Genomic DNA, 25,590 nt, shown 5'->3' with positions numbered 1-25,590 from the left:
TGGCAACCATCCTTCTACTCTCTATCTCCATTAGTTCAATTGTTTTGATTTCTAGATTCCACAGATAAATGAGAACATGTGAAATTTGTCTTTCCATGCCTGGGTTATTTCACTTAACATAACGACCTTCAGTTCCACCATGTTGCAAATGACAGAATCTCATTCATTTTTACGGTTGAACAGTTCTCCATTACATATATGTACTACATTTCCTTTATCCATTCATCTGCTGATAGACACTTAGGTTGCTTTCAAATCCTGGCTATTGTGAACAGTGCTGCAACAAACATGGGAGTGCAGATATCTCTTTGATATACTGATTTCCTTTCTTTTGGGTATATACACCCAGCAGTAAGATTGCTGGATCATATGGTAGATCTATTTTTAGATTTTTGAGGAACTGCGAACTGTTCTTCACAGTGGTTGTACTAATTTACAATCCCACCAACAGCGTACAAGGGTTCCCTTTTCTCCATATCCTCGCCAGCATTATTACCTGTCTTTTGGATAAAAGCCATTTTAACTGGGGTGAGATGACAGCTCATCATAGTTTTGACTGATATTTGCCTGATGATCAATGATGTTGAACACCTTCTCATATACCTGTTTGCCATTTGTATGTCTTTAGAGAAAAGTCTGTTCAAATTTTTTGTCCATTTTTTTAATTGGAGTATTAGACTTTTTTCCTATAGAGTTTCTTATATATTCTGGTTATTAATCTTATCAGATGAGTCGTTTGCAAATATTTTCTCCCATTCTATGGGTTTGTCTCTTCACTTTGTTGATTATTCCCTTTTCTATGCAGAAGCTTTTTAACTTGATGTGATGCCATTTGTCCATTATTTTCTTTGGATGCCTGTGCTTGTAGGGTATTACTCAAGAAATTTCTGCCTAGACCAATGTCATTGAGAGTTTCTTTTAGTTTTCTCTTAGGAATTTCATTTTGATTTGATTTTTGCACATGATGAGACATAGTATTCCAGTTTGATTCTTCTTCATATAGATATCCAGTTTTCCCAGCACCATTTATTGAAGAGACTGCCTTTTCCACAGTGTATGTTCTTGGCACTTATGTCAAAAATGTGTTCACTGTAGGTATGTGGTTTTGTTTCTGGTTCTCTATTCTGTTCCATTGGTCTATGTGTTTGGTTTTATGTCAGTACCATGTTGTTTTGGTTACTATATTTCTGTAGTATAATTTGAAGTCAGGTAATGTGATTCCTCCGGTTTTGTTCTCTTTGCTTAGGATAGCTTTGCCTATTCTGGATCTTTTGTGATTCTACATAAATTTTAGGATTGTATTTTCTATTTCTGTGAAGAATCTCATGGGTATTTTGATAGGGGTCACACTGAATTTGTAGGTTGCTTAGGGTAGTATGGACATTTTAACAATATTGATTCTTAGAACCCATAAACATGTAATGTCTTTCCATGTTGCTGTGTCCTCTTCAATTTCTTTCATCAGTGTTTTATAGTTTTCATTGTAGAGATATTTCATTTATTTGCTTGTTACTTCCTATCTAATTTTATCCATGGCTATTGTAAGTTGGATTACTTTCTAATTTCTTTTTCAGATTATTCACTGTTAGTATACAGAAATGCTACTGATTTTTGTATGTTGATGTTGTACCTTGAAACCTTGCTGAATTTATCAGTTCTCATCATTTTTTTGGTGGATACTTTAGGTTTTTCCAAATATAAGATCATATCATCTGCAAACAAGGATAATTTGACTTTTTCCTTTCCAATTATATGCCATTTATTTCCTTCTCTTGTCTGATTGCTTGGACTTCCACTACTACATTGAATAATAGTGGTGACAATGGGCATCCTTTTCATGTTTCAGATCTTAGAGGAAAGGATTTTAAGTTTTCCCTATTCAGTATGACACGGTGGCATGACAAATATAGTGTTTATTGTGTTCAGGTATGTTCCTTCCATACCAAATTTTTTGAGAGTTTTTATCATAAAGGGATGTTGAATTGTATTAAATTTTTCTCAGCATGAATTGAAATGAACATATGGTTTTTGTTGTTCATTCTTTTGATGTAATGTATCACACTGATTAACTTGCATATGTTGAATCATCCTTGCATCCCTGGAATAATTCCCACTTGGTCATGATGAATTATCTTTTTAATATATTGTTGAATTCCGCTGGCTGGTATTTTTGTTGATTTTTGAATCAACATCAGAGATACTGGCCTGTGGTTTTATTTTTAGATGTGTCTTTGGTTTGGGTATCAGGGTAATATGGGTCTTGTAAATGAGTTTGGAAAAGATTCCCTCTTCCTGTATTTTTCGGAATTGTTTGAGTAACACTGGTGTTAGTTCTTTAAATGCTTGGCACGATTAAGCAGTGAAGCCATCAGGTCCTGTTATTTTCTTTACTGGGAGACTTCATATTACAGCTTCAATCTTGTTTATTGTTATTGGTCTATTCATATTTTGTATTTCTTCATGGTTTAATTCTGGTAGCTTGTATCTAACTAGGAATTTATCCATTTCCCCTAGATTTTCCAATTTATTGGCATGTAGTTGGTCATAGTAGCTACTGATGATCCTTTGAAATTCTGCAATCCCAGTTGTAATGTTTCCTTTTCCATCTGATTTTACTTATTTGGGTCTTTTCCTTTTTTGTGCTTTAATCTGCCTAAGGACTTGTTGATTTTGTTTATCTTTTCAAAAGAATAACATTTTTTGTTTCCTTGACTTTTGTATTGCTTTCTTCATTTCAAATTCATTTATTTCTATTCTGTTCCTTTTTATTTATTTTTTATACTAATCTTGGGTTAGGTTTGCTCTTGCTTTGCTAGCTTTTTAAGATGAATCATTAGGTAATTTATTTGAAGTTTTTCTTCTTTTTTGAAGAAAAAGGCACTTATGTAAGTGCCTATAAATTCCCCTCTTAGTACTGCTTTCACTGTATCCCATAGATTATGGTATGTTGTGTTTCCACTATCATTTGTTCCAAGAAATTTTTCAGTTTTCTTCTTAATTCCTTCACTGATCCACTGGTCATTCAGGAGCATACTGTTAAATTTCTACATGTTCATATGGTTTCCAAAATTCCTCTTCTTGTTGATTTATAGTTTTATTCCATCGTGGTCAGAGAAGATGTTTGATATTATTTCAATTTTTGAATGTTTTAAAACTTGTTCTGTAACCTAACATATAGTCTATCATTGAGAATGGAAATATCTATCAAGTCCATTTGTTCTATGGTGCAGATTAAGTCTGATGTTTGTTGATTTTCTGTCTGGAATACCTGTCCAATACTGAAAATGGGATGTTGAAGACTCCAGCTATTACTGTATTGCGATCTCTCCCTCTCTTTAGCTCTAATAATATTTGCTTTATATATCTGGGTGCTCCAGTGTTGGGTGCATATATATTTACAATTGTTATATCCTCTTGCTGAACTGACTGCTCTATCATTAAATAATGACATTCTTATGACGGTAAATCCTGCCAAGATCAGGTTCTTCCCTTCAAGGCAGTGGGGTCCCTTTTAGCCCAGAAAGTGTCTAGAAATGTTATGTGGGAGCTCAGGCCTGGAATGGGGGCCTCAGGACCCAGGCATGCTGCAGAAAAGGCACAAACCAGTGCCTACTTCTGAGGCCCCTGGGGAAAGGGCAACACACAGGCACAGGCAAAGATACTTTGCAGGTGAAGGAAAAGTAAAAGAAAAACTCTCTACCCCTGATAGATGGAGAGGTGTATTAGTCCATTTTCACACTGTGCATAGACATACTTGAGACTGGGAAGAAAAAGAGGTTTAATGGACTTAACAGTTCCACATGGCAGGGGAGGCCTCACAATCATGGAGGAAGGCAAGGAGGAGCAAACACATCTTACATGGATGGCAGCAGGCAAAAAAAAGTGAGCTTGTGCAGGTAAACTCCCCTTTTTAAAACCATCAAATCTCATGAGGATTATTTGCTGTCACAAGAACAGCACGAGAAAGACCTGCCCCCATGATTCAATTACCTCCCACTGGGTCCCTCCCACAACACATGGGAATTCAAGATGAGATTTGGGTGGGCCAACCATATTGCACACCTGGCCCCTCTCAAATCTCATGTTTTACATTGCAAAACACAATAATGCCTTCCCAACAGTCCCCCAAAATCTTAACTCTTTTCAGCATTAACTCAAAAGTCCACAGTCCAAAGTCTTATCTGAGACAAAGCAAGTCCCTTCCACCTATGAGCCTGTAAAATCAAAAGCAAGTTAGTTACTTCCTAGATACAACGGGGCTACAGGCATTGGGTAAATACAGCCATTCCAAATGGGAGAAATTGGCCCAAACAAAGGGACTACAAGCCCCATGCAAGTGCAAAATCCAGCAGGGTAGTCAAATCTTAAAGCTCCAAAATGATCTCCTTTGACTCCATGTCTCACATCCAGGTCACGCTGATACAAGAGGTAGGCTCCTGTGGTCTTGGGAAGCTCCACCCCTGTGGCTTTACAAGGTACACCCTCCCTCCTGGGTGCTTTCATGGGCTGGTGTTTAGTGTCTGTGGCTTTTCCAGGTGCACAGTGCAAGCTGTCGGTGGATCCATCATTCTGGGGTATAACGGATAGTGGCCCTCTTCTCACAGCTCCACTAGGCAATGCTCCAGTAGGGACTCTGTGTGGGGGCTCCCACCCCATATTTCCCTTCCGCACTGCCTTAGCAGAGGTTCTCCATGAGAGCCCCACCCCTGCCGCAAACTTCTGCCTGGGCATCCAGGCGTTTCCATACATCTTTTAAAATCTAGGCAGAGGCCACACACCTCAATTCTTGACTTCCATGCACCTGCAGGCTCAACATCACATGGAAGCTGCCAAGGCTTTGGGTTTCGATCCTCTGAAGCAACAGCCTGAGCTGTACCTTGGCCCCTTTTAGTCATGGCTGGAGTAGCTGAGATGCAAGGCACCAAGTCCCTAGAATGCACACAGCAGAGGGACCCTAGGCCCAGCCCATAGAACTATTTTTTCCTCCTAAGCCTCTGGGCTTGTGATGGCAGGGGTTGTCGCAAAGGTCTCTGACATGCCCTGGAGACATTTTCCCCATTGTCTTGGTGATTAACATTCAGCTCCTCATTACTTATGCAAATTTCTGCAGCTGGCTTGAATTTCTCCCCAGAAAATGGGATTTCCTTCTCTACCACATCATCAAGCTGCAAATTTTCCAAACTTTTATGCTCTGTTTCCCTTTTGAAACTGAATGCCTTTAACAGCACCCAAGTCACCTCTTGAACGCTTTGATGCTTAGCAATTTCTTCCACCAGATAATAACCTAAATCATCTCTCTCAAGTGCAAAGTTCCACAAATCTCTAGGACAGGGGCAAAATATCACCAGTCTCTTTGCTAAAACATAACAAGAGTCACCTTTGCTCCAGTTCCCAACAAGTTCCTCATCTCCATCTGAGATCATCTCAGCCTGGATTTCTTTGTCCATATCATTATCAGCACTTTGGGCAACGCCATTCAACAAGTCTCTAGGGAGGTCCAAACTTTCCCAAATTTTCCTGTCTGCTTCTGAGCCCTCCAAACTGTTCCAACCTCTGCCTGTTACCCAGTTCTAAAGTCACTTTCACATTTTCTGGTATCTTTTCAGCAATGCCCACTATACTGGTACCAATTTACTGTATTAATCCATTTTCACACTGCTGATAAAGACATACCTGAGACTGGGAAGAAAAAGAGGTTTAATGGACTTACAGTTCCACTTGGCTGGGGAGGCCTCACTATCATGGTGCAAGACAAAAAGAGCAAGCCACATCTTACATGGATGGTGGCAGGCAAAAAAAAGGAGAGCTTGTGCAGGGAAACTCCCCTTTCTAAAACCATCAGATCTCGTGAGACTTATTATTCCCTATCAGGAGAACAGCATTGGAAAGACCTGCCCCCATGATTCAATTACCTCCCACCAGGTCCCTCCCTCAACACGTGGGAATTCAAGATGAGATTTGGGTGGGGACACAGCCAAACCAATCAACAGGTAACCATCTTAGGCCTTAATATTCCATCACAGCAAGTAGAAGTATCCTACTCCTGAGGTAGCAGTATGAAACTCCTACAAAGACCAACTACAGATAGAAGGCAGAGTTTGGCCATAACACAGAGGATGGACAAAGAGACAGGAAAAGTCCTCATTCCTAAGGCTCAGGTACACAAGACCTCCCTAGTGAATATGGACTAAAAAGAGAGAAACTCTCTGCCATCTCCCTGAGATGGCAGACTGTTTGGCATCATCCTTACTGAGTACTAAGTGAAGAGGAGGAGAGAATTTAAGTAAAGTGAATGGAAAATAAGTAAATGATTGAGTTGATACTTTATTGTGAAAGCACAAGAACCTCACTTGAATTCTCATTTAGAAAATGATTCCATTTTCAATTAGAAGTATAGAGAAAGGCTGTGTGTAGAAGAGATAAATTGTTTTGAAAAAGGATCAATGAATCTCTTCAAATAATTTGCAAAAAGAATAATGAATAAGATCTTAGAACATTCATTTTAACCCTGTATTTTTAAAAAAAAGTTGTACAGAATATCCTGAGCGGGCTATCAAAACAAGTTAGCTCTAAAGCATGTCAAGTTGAATGAGTTTATCTAAAAAATAATACTATATTTGTTTTAGAACCATAGATAAAAATCCAGTATTATGTCTTTATAATCAGCTAACAGATATGGTTACTTCATTGGAGTAATGCTAATATGATAATAATATCATATTCAATATAGGAAATTCTTCATTGCAATGTGACCTTGTCAAGCTATATAACCTCTGTAAATATCAAATTTAGCACCTCCAAAATGGACATATAATGAGCTTCAAAGCGTATTCAATTAAATATTTTAGTAAAGTGGCTTACATAGTCTTGCACATAGCAAATACTAAATTACTCAATAAATGTTTCTGTACTCATAATCATCATCATCATTTCATAATACTGCTATTCAGTATAGTAAAACAGACACACACAATTCTTCTAAGCGCTAAATTTATCTTCCTACAATAAGGAGTGTGCCAGTAAGTAAATATCTTCTAATCAACCAAAAATATTAGGATATGTGAATATTAGTAACACTGTGTATCTTTTAAAAAATGAATTTAAAATTTTGTGAACGTCTATTTTGAGTATACTAAATTGTCTTAATTTCAGTCACTTGAATTACATAAATGAGCTTATTTTTATCTTATGTGAAATGTAAACCCACAACATGTTAAAAATACTTTAAGAAATAACGCTGCAAAATTTCTTAAGCAGAACCATAAATGTGCAGCATTGCATCAATTCACTTTTTAAATATACATTAGAAGCCTATTTGTGCTCGTCCCAGGAAACAAAGCATAGGAATTGACTGAAGTATTAGACCTTAAAGTTTTTCTGACCATTAAATTGGTTTTCAGGGACTTTCTTTCTGTTTGCACAATGAAGTCTATTCAGTAGAACAATTTAAATTCATTTCATGGTGGTGCTTCTCCTATTATGACCTTCCTGCTGCCCATCTGCTTAATAAATGGAAAATAAAAGTTGTACTAAAGAATAAAGTTTAAAATATTCATATAAGCAGCTAATATTTTAAACTATATAATATTTCCTCATCACATTAGTAGAGCATCTTTGTGTTAAAAAAAAAAAAACACAGCAAACAGACATTGTTTCAAGTACAACGCTGTTAAGAGTTACTCAGTGGAACATTCTATTTAAATGTGTACATCATAAAGAAAACAATTTGCACATGCTTTGTCTTAATAAAATGGTACAATGATTATTTAACTTCTCCATTTCAGGAAACCAGCATATCAAAGTCTACAATTCAATTATGCAATATTAAGGTACAGATATTCTTATCGAACTATAAAATTATTGCCCCAAAACTCCATTTTCAATATGATATGAATATTATTTAATAGTATGCTCAAAAATATTTTGAAGTGAATATCCATGGTAAAATAATTTTATTAACTGAACAGTTTTAAGTATTTTTGAATGATCATTTAATAATGAGTTTATTGGATTATCTTGTTATAATTTGGCAAAGTAAAGCATATAAACATTTTCTTGTTTACCTGCATCGAAGTAGGCTATCTTTGTCATATATTTTTCTCACATGAAAAAATTGAATCAAAGTAATTTCTGATAATAGTAGTTACATAATTAGCAAATATTCCATTATCTTCAATTGGTTATAAATGAATTTATTTAACCCACTAAATTTTATATTGGAATAACTGTTGGATGGCCAAAATGGAATTCAACCAGATTAGAGAAAAACTTTCATTATATCCTAACCAAAAAAGAAAGGGGTATATTCACGTCCAGAAAAAAATACCTTCTTAATTTAACAAGCAATTACCTAAACACTAAAGCATGAAATTTTATAAGCCTCATTATTATCTTTATTTTCACAGTGTTTGTTTCTGAAAGTCATAAAACTAAATGGGTCTTCACAAAAGCTGGGCACTCTTTGACCTTTTATAGAAGTAAATTTTGAAAGTGAAATAAAGGCCCCTTAGTAAACCACCTTAATTTTTCCTCAATATTAATTGCCATGTAATTATGGTTTTCTTTATGCCTATACTCTCTGGCAGATTGTAAAATAAAGTATGTCATTATTTTTTAAATGGCAGTTTTTCATCTTCCTGTTAGTAATCCCAATCAGTATTATTTTCTTCAGGGCTCTCAACAAAGCCTTTCTGGTCTGCATTATATTTCCTTACTGTAAAAGCCTGGCAAAGGAAGACAATACTCAAAATACGGCAAGACTGGTTACATTCCCAAGAAAATAATGCCTACCCCAAATAAATGCCATGAAAGGGGCAAAAATCACCAATTAACTGCTCTAAAAATTATTAAAAGCTTAACTAAAGAGCCAAAAGTTTAATAGCACACAATCACTTAAGCTCCTTCTATGTACCAGGCACAGAGATAGGCCCCGTGGGTATAGTGAACACAAAACATAGTCTCTATTATATGGAACTGAAAATGCAACAACAAAATATAAACATTAGATAATTCAATATGAAGGGCATAAATTTCAAGCTCCTTCATAAATATAAAGTATTAAATTAAATATAACTTAAATGGAGAGATATGCTATGTAAATAGGACTAAAACTTGTGACAGTATCAATCCTTCCCCCCTCAAAAAATAGATATGCACACACACACACACACACACACATATTTTTCCAAAATCAAGTTATATTTTCAACTTAATCCCCATCCTATGTCACACCTACATCACCCGTGTCTGTGGAAATTGGCAAACTTATTCTAAAGGGTCAACTGATTTTCAATAAAAGTGCCAAAGAAATTAAATGAGACTTAAAGATAATTTTCTCAAGAAATGGTGCCAGAACAATTATGTATTCCTATAGTAAAGAAAATTAACTTCTAGCTTCTACCTCACACAATGCACAAAACTTAAGAACAGATCCTATGTTGAAATAAAAATCTATATTTTAAGCGTTTTAGAAGAAAACACAGAATATCTCTGTGACCTATAGTAGAAAATGATATATTCAACAAAATGTCAAAATAAATACCATAAAAAAGATAAGATATGCTTCATTAAAATTTATAGTGTCTGCTCAACAAAGACACCATTCATAAATTAAAGACACAAGCCACAGACTGGGAGAAAATATTCACAATATTCTAACAAAGCACTTATATCCAGAATATACAAACAACTCTTACAATTCAATTATAAGATCAGCAAGCAAAAAACATAAACATACAGAAAGCAGGATAAATGCTTTGTAGAATGCTTTTTAGAATGGTCAAAAAGCAAAAAAAATTATGTTTAATATCATTTGTATACAGAAAATGCATATCAAAAATACAAGATGCCACAACACAACAGTTAAAATGGCTACAACTGAAAAGACTAACAACACTCAATGTTAGTAGCTGTTTGGAGCAACTGGAATTCGCATGTATTCCTACTGAGAAAGCAAAATGGACCAACTTGAATGTGGGAATATGTACGAGCAGTTCATACAGAGTTAAACATCCATCTATCCCCTTGATCCAGAAATTCCACTAAGTTTTTATAAGAAATGAAAACATATTCCCACCAAATATTTGTACCTCAATGTTCACAGCAGTTTTATCTTTAATAACCAACTGTTGGAAATAACTAAATGGAAAAAGGATAAAAAAGTTGTAGTATACATTATACAACAGAATACTACTTAGCAATAAAGAGGAACAAATTACTGATACAGGCAAAAATAATACATTGTACAGACTTTATGCTGAGTATAAGATGCCAAACACAATAATATACTGTGATTCCATTTATGAAATTCTCAAACAAAACTAATCTAAAGTGAAAAAATTCTTAAAAGTGATTGCTGGGACAGAGAATGACTGAGAAGGGACATGAGGAAAACTTCTGGATAGATAAAAATGTTCTACCTTGAGATGAATGTGGATGTTTAAGAGTTTATCCGTTTGCCAAAATTATATAGCTAAGACATATACTTCAATGTATATAAAGCATAACAAAAAATAACTGTAAAAATTATATATTATAATAACTTGAGGTACAGTAGGGAATGGGTAAGAGTAGAAGTGAAATAAGAATGACAAAAGTAGAGTGTTGATTATCCTATAGGTCTATGAGGTTCATTAGTCTATACTGTTTACTTTCTTTGAGTATATGGTAAGAAGGTAACATGAGATCTACCCTCTTAACGAATTTTTAAGTGTACAATACACTATTGTTGGTTGTAGTACAATGATATATAACAAATCTGTAGCACTGATTTTTGTTTACCTAAAACTTTATGCCCTTTGATTTGTAATGCCCTATCTTCCTCTCCTGTCATCCCCTGGAAACCACCATTCTACTCTGATTCTATGAATTTTACCATATTAAATACCTCATATATGGGGAATCATGCAGTAATCATCCCTCTGTGACTGTCTTATTTCACTTACCATAGTGTCCTCAAGGTTCATGCATGTCCTCACATATTACAGAATTTCCCTCTTTTTAAAGGATGAGTAGTATTGCATTGCATGAATGTACCATATTTTTTTTACCCATTCATCTGTCAATGAACATTTAGGTTGTTTCTATAATTTGGCTGTTGTGAATAATGCTGTAATGAACACAGGAGTGCTAATATCTGCCTCAGATCCTGGTTTCAATTCAATTCACTTCAAATAAATACCCAGGAGTGGGATTTCTTGATCATATGGTAGTTTGAATTTTAATTTTTTGAGGAACCTTTATTCGGTTTTCAGTGGTGGCTGCACCACTTGCATTCCCACCAGTAATGTGCAAGGGTTCCAATTCTTCCACATTTACATCAACACTTGTTATTGTTTGTATTTTTCTATTTTTTTTTTGAGACGGAGTCTTGCTCTGTCGCCTAGGCTGGAGTGCAGTGGCATGATCTCGGCTCACTGCAAGCTCCGCCTCCTGGGTTCACACCATTCTCCTGCCTCAGCCTCCCGAGTAGCTGGGACTACAGACACCCACCACCATGCCCGGCTAATTTTTTGTATTTTTTAGAAGAGACGGGGTTTCACCATGTTAGCCAGGATGGTCTTGATCTCCTGACCTTGTGATCTGCCCGCCTCGGCCTCCCACAGTGCTGGGATTACAGGCGTAAGCCACCGCGCCGGACATATTGTTTGTGTTTTTCTAATAATAGCCATCCTGAAAAGTATGAGGTGATTTCTCGTTTACTTTTGATTTGGATTTCCTTGACAATTAGTAACATTGAGCATTTTTCCATGCAGAAGCCTGTTCACATGCTTCTGCTCAAACTATTAGCTTCACATGCCACCTGGGGGAAAAAGCAAGTTTCTAGCAAAGGCCTCTACCACTAACCCACTGGTTAGAGCCACTATAGCCTCCTTGCTAATCCTCTAACAAGCCAACCTGTCTTCACCACATCCTCTTTATACTTCCTTTTTCCTCTGCCTGGAATTCCATTTTCCCAAGTTTATACTTGGCTTTTTCCCTCAGTCTCTTCAGGTTTCTGATGTGCTCCCCTGCTCCCTGCCCCACCCCTTACCAATCCTACATAAAACAGCACCCCGTCTGTCTCCTTTACCCATGTTATTTTTCTTCATAGCACTTACCACTACCTAATATATGTTGTATTTGTCAATATTCACATGTAGTCAATAGTTATCCTAATGTACTTAAAGAGTATCAACTGTTTGGAGTTAAGAAAAGGAAAAGAAGCCTGTCACTAAGGTAGAAGGAGGGGCAGAACAGTATGATGTCACAGATGCTAAGGGAAGATAGGAATAAAAACCAGGATATACAAATGGAAAAAAAAGACTGCTAAATTTGGGTGTCAAACAGTTCTCTTGTGTCCAAGGCCAACTGAGAAAAAGTGAAATGAAAGTCAGACTGCAAGATGTTAAAGTTCAAGTACACTGGTGCTTTCAGGAATCAATCACCCAAACGAGTTTTTTGTTTTTTTTTTTTTTTTTTTTTTGCATTGTCTACACTATGGAAAGAAGACATAAAATGCTAGTGAAAACAGGCAAGAAGATCAAGCAAAAAGGTTTTAATTAATAAAACTCATAATAGTTATTTATAAACTTCAGACCAAAGTAAATCTTTTGGCATGACAACTACCAAATAAAACAAGGTTTATGAATGAATATAGTGTCTAAACTGTGAAAGATACAATTCTAAGTGGTGTTTTATAATCTTTTTTTTTTACTTTTTTTTATTTATTTATTTATTTATTTTTATTATACTTTAAGTTTTAGGGTACATGTGCACAAAGTGCAAGTTAGTTACATATGTATACATGTGCCATGTTGGTGTCAACCACCAAATCTCTGCAACTGTGGTCACCTGCTTTAAGTGCAACTTTAGACTTTTGCATTTAAAATAACAATTGGTCTACATTTCAATAGAAAACGTATGCTCTCCTTTTCTGAGAAAAATATTGTTCTTCAATATCCAGTATGGGAAATACTTTTACTTCCAATGTAACTATAAATTTTTAATAAGATCATTTTCTCCATAAAAACATCTATACAGAAATGTTCTCAACAGTTATTTTCCCAACTTTATATTTTGGAAGACAGATAATCTATATTTATAGCAGGTACAGAGAAAACCTATAGTCTAAAATTGACACTGTTGACAACAGAGAAAATGACAATTCCCTGCTTTAATTATGGCAATTCAAATGATATTTTAGTGGGAAATATTTTCTCCTTTCATTTCCTTCTTCATACTTCATCGTTGCTGAATTTAAAAAATATTAATGATGTGATTAATAAAAACTTAGAGATGACAGCATTTAGAGTTATTGATAATAGCTGACATTTCAAAGCACTCTGTGATTTACAAAGCTCTTTAACATAGCTTGACTCATTTAATTATCACATTATTCCATAGAAATTAATAACACTATGCAAAATAATTCCCAGGTTAATAAGAAAACTGGGAGTAATTCAATAAACTGAGTTAATAAGTAACAGAATATTAGAAGCCAGGTATTTGAACTTTAAGATCAATACTCTTTCCATGGCAACTTTCCCCCAGATAAATATTAATTTTATAGCTGTATTATTTATTTGATTTTCCTAGATACATCACTAAATGCTATTAGTATAATCAAGAATAATACATATCTGCAACCTGACTTTTTTGTGTATTAAAAATTATTATTAGAAAAGTATTTGATATCTATTTTATTTTGCCTTAAGAAATATCCTATTCTATTTTGCCTGTTTTATTTTGCCTTAAGAAATATCCTAATCCTAAAAATACAAACATTAGCTCAAGCTCAATATAGGGAATCTCATGTTTATTACTAATTGCTATTTGAAAATTATCCTCAGAAGTCAAATTGAAAAACCTAGATGATTAAACACTACCATTTGGGGCAGGCTGGTAGCATGACAGATGTAGTTCGGAAAACTTTTTTCAAAACTTAATTGCAGCACTATTCACAATAGCCAAGAATGTGGAATCAACCTAAGTACCCATCAACAGAAGAATAAATAAATCAAATGTGGCACATATACACAATGGAATGTTATTAAGCCATTTTTAAAAAAAGAATGAAATCCTATAATTTGCAGGAACATAGATGAAACTAGAGATGATTATGTTAAGAGAAATAAGCCAGGTACAGAAAGACAAATATTGCGTGTCCTTACTCATGTGGAAGCTAAAATAGTTGATCTCATGGAGGTAGCAGGGAGAATGATAATTACCAGAGGCTGGGAAGTATGTGGGGAACGTTGGGTGGAAAGGGGAGATGAAGAGAAATTGGTTAATGGATACAAACAGTTAGATAGAAGGGTTAACTTCTAGTGTTCAATATCACAGTAGCGTGACTACAGTTAACAATAATTTATCATCTATTTCAAAATAGTTAGATTTGAAATGTTCCCAACACACACAAAAAATCATAAATGTTTGAGGTGATGGATACCCTAAATACTCTGATTTGATTACTACACATTGTATGTATGTAATCAAAATAACACATGTACAATTATCATATGTACAAATGTATTTGATACATATGTATCAAAATATCACATGTACAATTATCATATATAAATGTATGTACAATTATGATGTATCAATAAAAAACTACTGACAAAACGAAACAAAACTTCATTCTACATTTTCTAAGAATGTATCAGTAGAACCAGGCTATAAGGAAGCACTTTACTAAAATGTGCTGTGAAAGCACACCATGCTTAATATCCACTCAACAAAATAAAGATTAAGCATCTACTAAGGATCAAGCAGCTTCCTTTCAAATCTTCCATGTCAAGTAGAGTAAAGCAAACACAAATTTTCCTTGTCTAATTTTTTAGATTTTAAGTTCTATTGAATGAGATAGATTTGAGAAATAGCCATAAACTGTTAAAATTAAAACTATAATCTGATATGTTAGTAAGACAAGATGTTTTATTTGAGTGATACATTTTAATCCTGGCTTCTTTTAACATTAAGTTAATAATCTGCATGAGTAATATGTTATTTCGTATTATTGCTATTAAACATAATATTCAACAAACAACCAGTACTTGACAATGACTATTCAATGTCACTGGAGCTAAACTTATGGCATAAAGAGGCTGCTTTGATCTATTTAAAAGAAAATTAGCAAACTCAAGCAATAATTCAAAGGAGATCAGGAACTGAAACAGTGTGCCAGGCAGCACTGTGAGAAATATGCTATACCAAATTCCCAGTGAATCCATTAGATGAATATACAAAATCATAGTGAGCAACAGGGCAAACAGTACAAAACACTTTTGAGAAATGGAATGAAGAATAGAGAGAACACTGGTTCTAGTAATATATTCTTCTGAATCATCATACACTTCTAATGTAAAATATAAAATTCTAAATGGTACATTACATCCATAGACAATACAAAATTTATATACCTTGCAAAAACATTTCTACAAGTACAGATAATACTTGAATAAATGATATCATACAAATTATTTACTGCCATCTTTTACAAGAGCTTAAATATTTTCTCTACTTCTCAATGAAAAGGCATGTTTCTTTAAACTTATCAAAAATCTTAACAATATTATGTTCCTATATGGTAGTTCCATTAATCTAATTTTGGTTTTAATATGATTCTTTAAGTGAGAAAGGCCCTCTTTAACTATATTTAATAAAAATGAATTAATAAATAAAACACGAACTCTGCTTCACATCTGAGCATTGATTTTTCCATATAACATTGCCTCAGATAAGCAGATTCACCCCAAGTTAATGCATTCACACATTCCTTGTCAGAATAACACTGGCTGTTTATCTAAAATTGTTCACCAGGAATTGCATGTCTTCCATTAATTGCAGAAAGAAAGAAAGGTGTGGAGAGATCTGGCTTCTCTTCTATGAATAAATTTATGCCAGGAAATTACAAAACAAAGGTTTCCTTTCAGTAATTTTCTTTTAAGTTAGAAGAAAATTTATTTTCATAAAATATATTAATAATGTACTCTTGAATGAAAAAGGAACTTACAAAATATGGTATTAGTGCAGTTTATATTTAAAAGTTACTCATAAATATGCATTAATATAAATGCATTGAGGAAAGTCAAGGCTGCTATTCAACAAAATGGTAAGTGGTTGGCCCTGGGTGGTGAAATTATGGATAGTTTATATTTTCTTTTTTAAAATTTTTTATTTTTATAGATTAAGGGGTAAAAGTGCAGTTGTTTTACATGGATATATTGCATAGTGATGAAGTCTGGGTTTCTGGTGTACCAATCACCCAAGTAGTGGACATTTTACCCATACTTGCTTTCCTCCAACTCTCCCACCTTTTAAAGTCTCCAGTATCTATTATTCCATTCTATATGTCCATATGTACTTATTGCTTAGCTCCTACTTATAAGTGAGAATATGTGGTTTTTGACTTTCTGTTTCTGAGTCATTTCACTAAGGGTGAGGGCCTCGAGTTCCACCCATGTTGCTGCAAAAGGCCTGATTTCATTCATTTTTATGGCTGAATAGTATTCCATTGTATATAAATGTCACATTTTTTATCCCATCATCTGCTGATGGACACTTACGTTGATTCCATGACTTTGTTATCATCAATAGCACTGCAATAAACGTAAGAGTGTGGGTGGAATTTTTATACAACTGAGTAGATACCCAGTAGTGGAACTGCTGGACTGAAGTCAAAACCACAATGAGATATCATCTTACACCAGTCAGAACAGCTATTATTAAAAAGTCAAAAATAACAGATGTTGGTGAGAACGTGCAGAAAAGAGAACACTCATACATGGTTGGTGGGAATGTAAATTAGTTCAACCTGTATGGAAAACAGTATAGAGAATTAACTTTTTTTTAATAAACTTTATTTTTAGAGCAGTTTTAAGTTCATAGCAAAATTGATTAGAAGGTACAGAGATGTCCCATACACCTCCTACTCCCACACATGCACAGCCTTCCCCATTATCAATAGCCCCCAACAGAGGGATACATTTGTTAACAACTGACGAACCTACATATCATTATCACCCAAAGTCCACAGTTTATATTATTCCTTCTGGAGAATTTTCAAATACAGAAATTCCTCTACCAGGAATAAACTAGCAATTTCCTCTCGGCTTTCTATAAATTTAATTATTATTTCAGAAATTAGCCTATCTTTACAGGAGAAAATGTTATAAACCATGAAAAGACTATCAAATACACAAGGAAGTGAATGTTATATAAAAAATGTACCATCTCCTAAACAACTACCTGCATTCCCTTCTTGTTGGTAAGTTATAATTGTGATAGTTCTGATCATCTGTTTAATTAATTTGCTAATGAAGCCTCTCACATTCTTTACAACTAGAAAAATTCAGTTTTCAAAAATTAAGGCTCTGGTATATTACATATATCAGCTTCACTCAACTCTTTTATTTAGTCCAAAAGAAAAAGAAGAAAATGTCATTTAAAAAATAACATACTCAGCTGCTTGTTTGTAGTGCTTCAAATCTTTCTTTAAATTTTTGTTCTCATTTTCCAAAAGCATAATCTGGGTGTAGACATCTGGAACATTCCCAACAGTTCTAAGTTCAGTCACTCCTTTCTGTATTAACTCATACCTAGGATAAAATCAAACAAAAGGGTTTATATCATTTCTTTCTGCCAAATTGGCTTAATTTATGTACAATTCAAAAAGTTAAGTCTCAGGGAGTGTTATAGTAATTAGTTGCAGTATTACATTTATAAGTTAAAATGTCCAACAGTCATAATATATTTTAGAATAAAATATGACTTCTAGGTACCAATACCATCATGGTGTATAAAATATAATAACTGAACATCTCCTATGTTCCAGGCACTGGTCTAGACAATATTAAAATTGACAAAAATGTCTACGTCCCTATTTCATGGAGTTTCCATTCTAGTGGGGAGGGTGATAAGTTCTATGAAGTTAAATAAGCTGTCTGAAAGATATAGGAAGAATGAGGTGGAAACACTGATGGGAGTGCTTGTGCTATTTTACATAGGGTGGGCATGAATGACAAACATGACTGACAAAGTGATATCTGAACAGAGATCTAAAGGAAATGAGGGACTGTGTTATGTGGATAGCTGGGAGAGAAGCAGCTGGGGCAGATGGAAAAGTAAATGCAATGGCCCTGAACCAAGGAAGTGTTTGGCAACTACAAGAAAGAACAAACAGCCAGGGTACCTGGAGTGTCTGGAACTGAAGCCAACTAAGTGACCAAGGAGAGAATGGTGAAAGATGAGTCAGGAAAACAGCAGGGAGTCACAGTGAGGAAAGCAATTTTACTCTGAATCAGAAGTAAACCATAGGAAGGTTTTGAGATAAGTGACACTGACCAGATTTATGTTTTAAAGGGATTAGTCTAGCAAGCATAGAATCAGAGAGACCAGTTAGCAGGCTATTGCAGTAGTCAAAGAGAGAGCATGGTGGCTTGAAAGAAGTTGGTAGCAGTGGAGATTATGAGAAGTACCTTCTAGAAATGCTGTCAAGGTGGGGCCAGCAGGACTCTCTGATGGATCAACTGTCAGGTGTTGGTAAATGAGAGAAGGCAAGTGCGACTCCAGGGTTTTTGGCTGAGCAACAGATAGCCATTTATTTACTAAGTGGGGACAAATGCAGGAGGAGCAGAGTGGCTGGAGTAATCAAGGGATTGTTTCCATTCGTGTTAAATGTAATATGCCTAGCAGACATTTAAGTGAAGACAAACGTTGAGTATACATGTTCAGAGTTCAGGAAAAAAGTCAGGGTTGGCAATTTAAATTTGGTAATCAACATTATAGATACTATTTAAAGTCATGAGACTGAAAAAGACCAGCTAGGCAGTGGGAAATGAAAGTAAAGAAAGAAAGAAATGAAGAGGTCCTAGGAGTGAGCCATAAACACTACACTGCTTCCAGGTTGAGGGGAAAAGAAAACACTACCAAAAAAGACGAAGCAAGAGAGGCCCGTGAAATAGTGGGAGAATCTGAGAGCTGTGCCCAGGGGCCAAATGAAGAAAGTGTTCTAAAAAGGAAGAACTGAACAACAGTGACGAATGCTGCCAGGAGTCTGAAAAGAATACTGAGAATCAATTACTGAAGTTGGCACTGTGAAAGTCACTATTAAAAAAAAAAAAGTTTTCAATAGAGTCATGCAGATAAAAGCCAAACTGAGAGTACGTCTGAGAGACTAGGAAATGAGGAAGTGGCAACAAACTTTTTTCAAGGAGATATGCTCTAAAGCAAAGCACAGGGAATCAAGATGAACTTAGAAGAAGATATGAAATCTAGGGCGGTTCTTCTCTTCCTTTTTTAAAATGTGAGATATTGTGCATCTGTATGCTTATGGGAATGACTCAGCCAAGAGGGAAAAAACTGACAATGGAGGTAAAAGCGGGACGATTACAAAAGCAGTATCCTTAAGTCTGTGAGAGGGGCTGGTATCAAGCAGACAAGATGAGAGTTGGCTTCAGATAACATTAGAGTCTGAGGGAGAAGAGAAGAATACCTGAGGCCAGAGGCAGCAGGGTGGTAAAGAGGGAGGTGGGAGTGATGGAACTTCTATTTTCTCAGTCAAATAAGAAGCAACATCAGAGAATCAATTGCAGATTGTAAATAATTACAATTTTAATCCCTGTGTATGGCAATCAATAAAGTTAAAAAAAACAATTTGAGCACAGAAAAATATTTCAAGTAATAAGGTTATTAATAAATCCCTACAAAGCTTACTCTAGATGAGCTAAATATTAGAGCTAATTATAAATTATCAGTAGTTTCATATTATAAATCATAATAATGTTACATATTTATAAAGTCACATATTTTGTGTTATATACTTTATCTGATTTTTTCTAAAAAAAGAGCAAGAGGACCCCCCCATAGAATATCCTGAAGATTAAGATAATTGAATCAATATTCCATTATATTTGCCACAATTCATAAAACAGGAAATAGGTATCAATTGAATCATAAATTCAGTAAGTAATCTGTACTAGGAATGTGATATACTTATCTCAGAAGAGAAGACATAGGCTTTTTCTGACCATAAAATTGGTTTTCAGCACCTTGCTTTATTTAATGAGGAAAAACCACTAGAGAAATTTTCTATGAGGAAAAAAGTGATTTAATAGTTTTTCCTCTAAATTAAATACTATAAATAAAATAGTATGTGATAAAAGAAGCACAAATCCAAATACAACATTTATTACATAGTATATATCTCAGGACATTCAAAAATTATTTATCAGGTAAATTTTCTGCCATCCATGTAAAAATATGAAAGATGACTTCAGGCTCATTTTTAGATAATAATACAAGTAATTAGGAATTTTAATGCACAAACTACAGAAGTATACTTCTCAATAAAATCTGAATTCTCATACATAATGTTTTTGTGGTTTGCTTCAGTTTGTATGTATCTGTTGTTTTGTTTTGTTTTAACAAATATCCTGACTTTTTATTTTTTCTTCTTTTTCACTCACTCTTAAAATAAGACTCAAAAGTGTTCAGGTGGGAAAAAAGATTGCCATAACTATTAGAAATTTGAAATATAATTTGCTCTTAATGAAATTGCCAATAAAATTATCACTAATAAAACTGCATTAATTATCTTAATATTTACCAGGAGATCCATCAACTACTTAGAATTATGTAGAAATGGAGAATATATATGAATTTCAGGGAGAAAGTGCATAGAAATTTCATAAAATTTTGTCCACATAACAAAAGCATTTAAGACCCACTGCCATAAATGATGAATATTATGACAGAATTCCAGTAAAAACAGAAATGGTGTCAGAAGAATAAGGATTATTTTTCCCTCATGGTGGCACCCAAGGCATAGGATGTAAAAGACAGGGGAAAGGTCATCTTGATTATAATCTCCTTATACGAAGCCTATAATGAGAACTTTTCCTCCATGTTTTCATAAAGATTTAGGGAAATACATTACCAACACAGACAAAATTATTTTAATTCCTGTACAAACCGAGGATGTCAGAATCCCCAGCACTATCGCGACTATCACTTAGAACCAGACAGTCCCTCTCAGGAAAAATATAGCATGGCTGACATGTTTATTACTGGCCCCAAGATTCCTCAAACCAATATAGAAAATAGGCACAAATTTGAATTCTAAATTAATATTTTCTGAAGTCCTTTTAGTATCCAGCCAAGCCAAAAGGCACCTTTATTAATTTTTTCAAAGATTCTCTTGTATAATTGCACAATATAGCCCTGTGGTTAGGAGACTGGTCTTTAAGATCAGTATGTCCTAGGTTGACTCTGCCACTTACTGGCTATGACTTGGTGACACTCACTGATGAGATTTCCTAATCTCCCTATCCCCTTTCCTTACCCGTAAAATAGAAATATGGCTGTGGCTACCTGCTAGATACAGTTGTTGGGAGAAGTAAATGAAATAATGCATGAGAATATACTATATCAATAAAAATGATACAAAGTAAATTTCTGAGTGATAAGCCTAAGGCTTCACCTTCTTAAATATTTTTAAATCCCTCATATTTAATAAACATGTTATTAATTTTGTTTTAAAAATTTAAATTAAATACTCACCTAAATGGCTGCTCTCTTAATATCATAGTACATAAATCTGTGCAGATGTATTTATAGTGGTCAAATGTATCATAATGTAACATAGCAAAAATTAGCTTTTGCTAACTTTTATGTTATGTAGAAGAGTCACTACATTCCTGTGTTAAACTTAATAATGAATGGGGAAAAAATATTCTTATGGGACATATAACTAGAAGCCAAGTTCTCATTAATTGAAGAAACAGCAGTAAGATCAAATGACAAAGGAACAAATATTTGTGTAGTGTTCACTGGGAGTCATTAATGTATACACAACACCACACATATTTCCTGTACATACTTGGGCAACATAAGGGCTATATCAAAGGTAATTTTAATTCTAGGCTCTGGCTTTAAAACTTAACCATCCCCAGAAAGTTGTAACTGCACTGCTCACATTTAAGTGATTAAATGTTATGACAAATTTTATTGTCTAAAAGCTGCAATATTTCTTTCATGCAAATTAATGAAATATACTCTTAATTTACAATCTCTTCCATTATTAAAAAAAATTAAATTAGTAATTAAATGTTATAAATAATTGTACTATTACTTTTGATGGCATTTTCATTGCCACCCTACCTTCAGTGAAATGGTGCGAATAGGCCAAACTGGAGAGAACTAAGTGTTGAATACGAAGTAAAAAGGTGAAGAAAGAAAAAAAATTTAAACTCTGTTTTCAAAATATTGGCTGGAAAGGGAAAAATGGTTTAAAAAGAAGTGTAGTAAGAGGCAAAAAAAGTAAGAATGTATCTTTAGGGTGAGTAGTTCTGACAATGTTAATAGGGGAACAGTCAGTGTAGGAAGACAGATGGATGACATATGCTCAGGTAAGGGTACTGGAATTAGATTATCATATTTTCTCCATTTTAATTTCTTCTTTAATTTTTCCCCCCTGAGAAATTACCATTGCCCATTGAGAATTCTAAAATAGGCATATAAATAGAATTGAACCATCGACTAAACCTGCAATGGAAACTTTTCAGTGGTTCATAGAACAAATTCCTACTATGTTCTGGCAACTCTTTTCTGTAAAGGGTCAGAGAATAAATATTTTAGAATTGGCAAAACTATATTTACAGGCCATATCTCTCCTGTTGTGACTAATTAACTTTGCTTTTACAGAGTGAAAGCAGCCATATACAATACCTAAAGAAAGGTTATATCTGTGTTCCAATAAGATTTTATTTTAAAAATCAGGAAGCAGGCCAGATTTGGCCCAAGGATCTTAGTTTTCTAACCCTCGATTTAAAGGATCTATTGCATTTTCTGCTTGAGGAGTGAAAGAACCTATATCAAATTTTACTGCCCAGTGTTTTGTTTGTTTGCTTATTTTAACAAACTAACAAAGGAAAATCCTTGTTTGGTCATGTTTTGAAAGATTAAGTGAATTCATAGCAAATGATATATTCTAAGTGTTTTTTCCTGTGGTAAAAATGATAAAAAATAATATATTTAATATTCCTATAATTTTACTATGTAGAATAGGTAAAGTTTTCTAATCAAAATAAAAAATGTTTCATATGAAATAAGGTATTCAATACAATGTAATCTCATTGCAAACTGGCAGCTAGGGATAAGGATAAAATTACTTGAACCACGATATTCTAAACTCATAAAGAAATGCGTTATACCAATTTTATCTTATGACTAGTATGCTTAGTTTGGGAGGACTTTAAATCCTAATACTAACAGTAATCTTAGTTTCCTAAAATTTCATCTCATCAATTCAGATTGCTAAATCTAAAAGGAAAATATGACAATAGTCACCGAATTGTTAACAGTATACTTGGATCCAGATTATTCTAAGAAAATCATTTTACACTTTGGACTGGCCTAACATATAAGCATCACATGTCCTAACACACATTGTTGAACACAGAAAGTTAAGTGAATCATATTAATCTTTCACTTTATTAGCACTGTAAATTAATCATCTACCTACTTTTACAAAAAATATATTTTCTAGTACATTTGTAATTATTATATTTCTTAGGGATATTTTTATAAAAAATTATTTTAAATAATTCACACTATTTCCAAATTTAAGAGAAGCAGTATTATTTTTCTTCCACTGAACTTTGTTTTTCTTAGACTGTATTAATGAAAAATAATTCTCCTCATAGAATTTATTAACATTACATGTGCAATTTAAAATAATGAAACTGACTGCGCTTATGTGCATGTTCTCAGAAGATGAGAACCAAAAAAAGCAAAAAATAAAAATTTATACCACAGCTGGATGAGTAAAAATCGCAAATTATCCATACATTGCAAATTTATTTAAAATTAGGAATTAGTCCTAATTATAAACATCTTTAGGTATCATATTAATCCCCCTTTCTAGAATATGCAATAGCTATTAAAGTTCAAATACATTTTCATAGCTAATCATTTAATAAATTTATTTAAACAATGTCAGGAAACTGAAAATATGCCTGGTGACATTATTATTATAACAAAGGAATAAAGGTACACCTACTGATTTTCATAACTAGTTATTAAAATTTTCAATTATAACAAGAAAATATTTTGTTTAAGTGATATTCAAAATACAATTCCACTTACTTCTAACTGAAGAATATTCATAGAAATATAATTAATCAGCTATGTGAGTAGAAAAAGACAAGCCATTACACTATAAATAAAACAAGGAAGTAAAGCAGGACTGTTTAGTATAATGTCTAAATACAGGAAATACTCTCAATAATTATACAAAAATATTAGGAAATGTTTTCATAAAATATCTTTGTGTTTTATAACTCCAGGAGATATTCAAGTGTCTTGATTTTTTAAAAATTACTTAAACTTAAATATTTGGGAAAGATGTTTAATAAAAATGTCTTTGTAACTGCTATTCTGATTTGTGTGTGTGTGTGTGTGTGTGTGTGTGTGTGTGTGTGTGTGTGTGTGTGTGTGTTGTGGTTTCAGGGCTGGAGATGGGAAAAGTTTCTAGTCATTTTTCATAGGCTGAGTCATTTCAAAGTCTCCTAAGACACTTAAAAGTGTATATGTTAAATGTTAGAATTTTAAGAGAACTATTTATCTACATAATTGTTTACCATTCAGACTGAAAGCAATCAAGAGTTCTGGTCATTCCCATTTTGATCAAGAAATTGCAGAGAAAGTCTTCTATTACTTCAGGTACTGCATGCTTTGAAGGAAGAACTGTTTTCCGTTCCTGAAATTTAAACGTGCATTTATTTATTCTGAAAACATCAAAGCATTAATTAATGATATAGATAAGCCTTCGACTCATTCATTCATCCATTCATTTTTTTTCAACAATGTTTGTTGACTGTTATATGCCAGGAACCATTAATATTTTAATTACTGGGGATAAAGCAGATGAAAGCAAACAAATCTCTGTCCTCCTATCTATTAGTCAAGTGGATGGAGACAGAATATGAATAACTAAATAAAAAACATATACTATGACAGATGGTACTAAGTACCTTGGGGTGGGGAGAAAGTAGAGGACTAAAGATAGAACCAAGTGTAGGACAAGTATTTATGTGAAGCTGGGTTGCTACGTATTTAGGGTGGTGAAGATGTCATTGATAAAACTGTTATCTGAGCATAAATCTAGACAAAGAGGCAGAGTGTCTTATGTTCCGGTTTGTATCTGCATCAGCAAGTGCAAAGGCCCTGCAGCAGGAGTGTGATTGGATTGTCTAAAGGATAGTAAGAAGGTAGGTTTGCCCTTTCAATAGCACATAGCATGTTAATCAAAAAAAAGAAAAAAAGAATGCATGGACCTTTTAATGCTTTTAATTATCATTTAAAAAGAAATACAGTAATTTTAGTACCATGACTTTTAGAAACACTATGGAGAAAATAATTAGTGACAACAGGAGCTTACACTAGTATTCCACATGGAAGTCAGTCAGTCTATCAACTAGATCAGGGGTCAGCTAACAGTTCTTATAAATAAAGTTTGTTAGAGCACAGCATGCCCATGCCCATTTGTTTACATATTATGTATGGATGCATTTGCACTACATGAGATAGTTGACTAGTTGCCACAGAGTC

At 34.0% G+C, this 25,590-nt stretch overlaps 1 protein-coding gene across 23 annotated transcripts in view; it reads right to left on the bottom strand.

Moving 5' to 3' along the window:
• The window catches only part of SPAG16 (sperm associated antigen 16), a 1,126,038-nt gene that overhangs the window by 1,075,704 nt on the left and 24,744 nt on the right, over positions 1 to 25,590 (bottom strand). For 20 of the 23 annotated variants that reach the window (NR_047659.2, XM_011511814.2, NM_024532.5 and 17 more), the window contains 2 exons: positions 24,621 to 24,739; positions 17,442 to 17,579 (listed from right to left, as the gene is read on the bottom strand). Coding sequence is in view for 21 of the 23 variants with exons in the window: in XM_011511814.2 (XP_011510116.1) it covers positions 17,442 to 17,579; positions 24,621 to 24,739 (257 nt within the window). In the remaining 2 variants the exon portion in view is untranslated. Of the gene's footprint in view, positions 1 to 16,812; positions 17,580 to 24,620; positions 24,740 to 25,590 lie in introns of those variants that run through there. The other 3 variants (NR_047660.2, XM_011511823.4, NM_001025436.3) reach the window with 2 other exon arrangements.

This window comes from Homo sapiens, chromosome 2 (assembly GCF_000001405.40).
Source record: "Homo sapiens chromosome 2, GRCh38.p14 Primary Assembly".
NCBI classification, from domain to species: Eukaryota; Metazoa; Chordata; class Mammalia; order Primates; family Hominidae; genus Homo; species Homo sapiens.
This window is presented reverse-complemented; position numbering and strand designations above follow the sequence as displayed.